Source organism: Homo sapiens, chromosome 1, assembly GCF_000001405.40.
Source record: "Homo sapiens chromosome 1, GRCh38.p14 Primary Assembly".
Classification (NCBI taxonomy): Eukaryota; Metazoa; Chordata; class Mammalia; order Primates; family Hominidae; genus Homo; species Homo sapiens.
The window spans coordinates 187,792,839-187,797,821 of NC_000001.11; the positions used below are offsets into that span (position 1 = coordinate 187,792,839).

At 29.9% G+C, this 4,983-nt stretch overlaps 1 annotated feature.

Annotated features, from left to right (window-relative positions):
- Positions 1,728–2,229: an enhancer, noted in NCBI's record as "NANOG hESC enhancer chr1:187763697-187764198 (GRCh37/hg19 assembly coordinates)". NCBI's record gives its function as "activates a minimal SCP1, AML or CMV promoter by ChIP-STARR-seq in primed H9 embryonic stem cells {active_cell/tissue: H9 hESC(primed)}" and the evidence as "EXISTENCE:reporter gene assay evidence [ECO:0000049][PMID:30033119]".

Genomic DNA, 4,983 nt, shown 5'->3' on the forward strand with positions numbered 1-4,983 from the left:
AAAGGACTTATATTCAAAATCTACAAGAAACTCAAGCAACCCAACAAGAAAAAAAAAAAGCAAATAATCTCATTAAAAAGTGGGCAAAAGACATGAACAGACACTTCTCAAAACAAGACCTACAAAGAGCCAAGAAACACATGAAACAAATAATAAATTTGATTCATTATATAAATAGAACTGAAAACAAAAACCACATGATTTTCTCAGTAGATGCAGAAAAAGCTTTTCATAAAATTCAACCTCCCTTCATGTTAAAAACAAGGAACATGTTTTAGGTATTTTTAAATGTACAATAAATGATTGTTGAATGTAGTCTGATAATTCTTAGTAATGCCATTGAGATAATCAGGCATTATGCATATCATGATATGATGCAATAAAAGCACAACACTATATGGTATTCTTTTTTTTTCTAAAAAAAGATATTTTAGAAATACATTTTTTAAAATTAAAAGCTCCCATTTTGATTAATGTTCACAAAGTGAATACTTCTATGTATTAACATCTGAGTGTTGTGGGGGGCGTCAAAAAAAAAACTCCTATTATCGGCACCACAGAATCTTCCATCACAGCCCCCAATTCGCTATTCCTCCTCCTCTAAGTAATCATTTTCTGGTTTCACTACACCCTATAAACTGGACTTTTCATAAATGCTTCCTCTGAATTTGATTAGTCTTCTACTTCTAAATACTATATGTAGAACTAAAGAGGAGAACTTGCTAACTGACAGCATGAGGAAACAGTCTAACAAATCCAGAAATTGGAATACTCTAAATGACAACTTGCTTGGTCTTTGCAGTATTTGAGGTAGGGAAAAGGAGACAATTGTTATAAATTAAAATTGATGTAAGTAAAATTACAATAAATTGAATTCATGGTCCTTGATTAGATCCCAGCTAAAACAAACCATCTGTAAAGGACATTTTAGGAAAATTGAGGAAATTTAAGTATGGATTATATATAACATTAAAGGACTATTTGTAACTTTTTTGGTTTTGAAAATTATATTGTAGGTAATATTCTTTTTTGAATTGCACACTGAAATATCATGTTATCTGTAACATATTTTAAATTATTATAGAAAAAAGATGAATAAATAAGACAAATTGTTAATCTGTACAATCTATACTAGATTACAAGTATATGATTATTTATTATATGCTTCTCTCTGTTGTTTATATGATCAAAGTTTTTAAAATATAAATTTTAAGGATACTAGTACATTACACAGATAAGATATATTTTACAATAAGGAATGTATAATTTAAGTAATTATTCCAGATTAATTTATATATTTGAATTTATAAATACTTAATAATAGACATTTTCTTCTTTGACTTTATATTTATATGTTATTTTACTGATGTTGTTAACAGTCTAACCATTTCAAGACTTTAATCCAAATGTCTTTATAAAGGATTTTAAAGTTGTTTCAATTTCAATATTACTGGAAGCCACTTAATAGGCTTCTTTCTTTAAACTTCTATTTTCTTTTACTCTATAGAAAATCAATATGAAGTTAAGAAGAGACTTTTATCTAAAGTTACAAAAGGTTAACTCTTCCTCATTTATAAATATATCTGCCTTATAATGTTGCTAAACAGATGTCTTATTCTTTAATTTCAAAATGGAAGTTTTTGAAAAGAACACTTTATACCTGAATCTTTTTTGTCACATACATGATTTTTAATGTTTAAAATGGTATTTGAATATATAAATATCCCCTGTAACAGGCACATCTAACAAAACATGTGATTAAATGCCAAATGTAATTATTAACAATAAAACCAAACATTGGTAAAAGTCAGAAGCACTCTCAGCTTAATTTATGCTGTGCTTTCAAAGGCCTAGTGTAGCCTATTATTGTACTAGATGTTAGAGGCTTACTGTAGTATCGGTATTTCGAGAATGTAAGTCATTTATAGACAAATTGGTTGTTGTTGCAGAGTAAAATCTTTAAAGTGCAAGCATACTTGAGGCTTTGTTATTACAATGGTCATAGAGTAGCTTCTGTTTTTGTGGGGCTTCTAGTATAAGCTTTCATGTAAACTTGACTGATATTCTTGAAAGTTCACTAGTTAATATGTCATAATACTGAGCTTTTGTTATGAAAATATTGCAAAGTTTTATATAGATCCGTAGCTCAGTTTGAACTAGAGAAATAAAATGGTTTAAAACATACAGTTAGGCAACTGGTACTTTAGATCATTTCAACTCAGTTAGAACCGACTCAAGTTCACAAAATAAGCACCATTTATTGATTTGTTTGTTTAAAGATACACACAGTTCTCTTGAAATTTCAATGATCTTAATTGTACCCACTGATTTTTATTTGGTTGCCTGTTATGGAGAGGTCTCATTGAGCTGCGGCTTGTTCTTTTCAGCAAGTAATGAATTTCAATTATCCTCTGCAAGAAAATAGAAATTGGTTTCTTTTGACTTGTGTACCTGTGATCAGAAAAGAAATTCTGAAACTTACAATCCCACTTACAAAGTTAGATCTTAATTTTCTTTTGATCTTTCAGAATCTGTATTCAAGGATTTATTTAAATATGAGAATAAACTTTATTTACATAATAAATAAATTGATCTAAATTATTGAATGATTAAAATATATGTACTATGGAACATTCATCCCAGGCAATAGCATCAAAATGCAGTCTATAGCTTGTGATGGTGTCAGTAGGGCTTTGTCACATATGTATTTCCTAAGTATTAGATGGCACAATATGCCAAAGTGATTTAAATTGTTTATTAACAATGTACTTTATATATAGAATCAGAATATACGTGCAACTGACTAAATTGTTTGTTTTGTTTGGATTAGATAAATGCAATTTAGAAAAGATCATAGACCCTTTTCTTCTATGCATCAAAGCAACAGATGTTTTGGGTGAAATAGTGAATTCCATTCGACATTTTGTTGATACTGTTAGATAGTAAGAAATACTGCTTAGTACTACAGAGGGTAATGTAATGAGACAATGTACCTACCCACAGGAAACTAATGATCTAATAGAAATATTAGAATAAGTCCAAAAATGGCAAGAAGCCTAACTAGAACGTGTTTTTAGCTTAAAAAGGAACAAAAGTATAAACTGCTCTTTCTAAATGAGAATCCATGTATTTGTAAAAAGCTTGTGGTTTTAAATAAGCCTCTACAGGGCCAAGACTATATTCAAAGTACCCTGGAAAATTAAAAAATATCTCAAAATTGTAAACTAAGTTTTAGCACTTAAGAATGAAATTAATAAAAATGAGTTATATAATAAGTTAGTTCTTTATAACCCTGAACCTTTATGACAGCTCAAAAATACTTTTTAGCAAGGCATTAATCCCAATTAATCTTAATTAATTGTCTTAACATATCTAAAAAGAAGAGATAGATAGGTTGCGAGGTTTTTAAAAGAAATCCAGGAGCTAGGATTAAAGCTATTTCCAGCCTTGCCTTGCTAAATGTCAAGAGATCACAATAATGGCCACTAGAGAGGTACACCTTGCTTTAGGAGTCAAAGGAAGTTAATTATCCTTTTGTCTGTCCTGGGTAAACTATGTCAATACTGCCTAAACATTTTATTAGTAATTTAGCTTCTTTTTTAAACAGTGATAGGGTAGATATGTACATTTAGTTTAATGGAAATATACAACATCAAGTGAAATATAATTAGTTGCCATGATAATTTGTACAAACAGTAATTCTCTTTTGAGGTTAGTTATTTCAAACAGATCTCTAAGAGCTTGATAAACTGCAAGATCATTGAAAAAAATAAATGGAACTTCTAATCTTGAGGAACAGCCTCTAAATTCCGGTTGTTAAATGATTTTTTTAAAGGCCTGTACCAACAGTGGATTGCCTTATTTAATAATGTTTATAGAATACTTAGTTTCAGGCACTGTCTTAAGTATGGGTCTTATAATGCCAAGTAAAAGTTAAATTGTCTCTGTCTGATCTTACAGGTTTAGGAGAGTTGAAAAATAAAGTTTATTGAATTAATGATACTAAATATATTAAGATTTATATATAAAAGCACTAGAAGTTAAAAATATTAAAATAGGATATGATCAGTGCTGGAAAATTTCATGCATTGCATTTGAAAGTTAACATTGTTTTCTAAAAGTAAAATAAAAAATAATGTTACATAACCAAAGCATACTGAGTCTTTTTGTTAGTTAACATAGCTTTTGATGTACTAACCAGATTAGAGGCCCAAGAGTACTGTTAAATTTAAGAACTAAGTTTCCAGCTGTCAATACTCTTGTCAAGAATCCAGATGATGCTTTTGGAAGAACACATTTTCAGTAACTTGGCATCATGTACTTCCATCATTAGTGAAGAGAGCTTCTTAAATTGAGTAGATTGTGTTATACCAAGAGTTTTAATATATTTAATTATTTTTACCCCCATTGAAACTATGTGAGTATGAATGCACATATTTAAGATGAATTAACTTTCTAAGAAAAGTTAATACTTAAGTGTTAGTATTGAAATGAGATCACTGCTTTCTTTGGGACTCATTAAATTTTATGAAGGCAACTGCCTTGCGTATTGATTACGATGTCCCAAATTTCAAGCTGCTTTTTTGGTTGTCGTTAAACACAAAGAAATTATCTTTAAGACAGGCAATCCAATCCTAGAAATGTGGAAGCATTAACTGAGTCAGTGCAATTTGAGGTTCAACTAACAGTCCTCTTGTGATCCTGCACCATTGTTGCACTTTGAACTCTCTCTTCTATTCTCTTCAAAATGCCCAAAGCCCTTAATGTAAGTAATGGCAATATTGGTCCTTCCTTTCTACCTGCACTGATGTTTGTGATGGTCTTTATAATGTCAAAGGCTTCCCATAAATTCCTAGTTGCCTTTTTTTTCCTTCCTTCCTTCTTTCCTTCCTTCTTTCCTTCCTTCCACTCTCTTTTTTCTCTTTTTATCTTCCTTCCTTTCTCTCTCTCTCTCTCCTTTTTTTCTTTTCTTGTCTTTTCTTT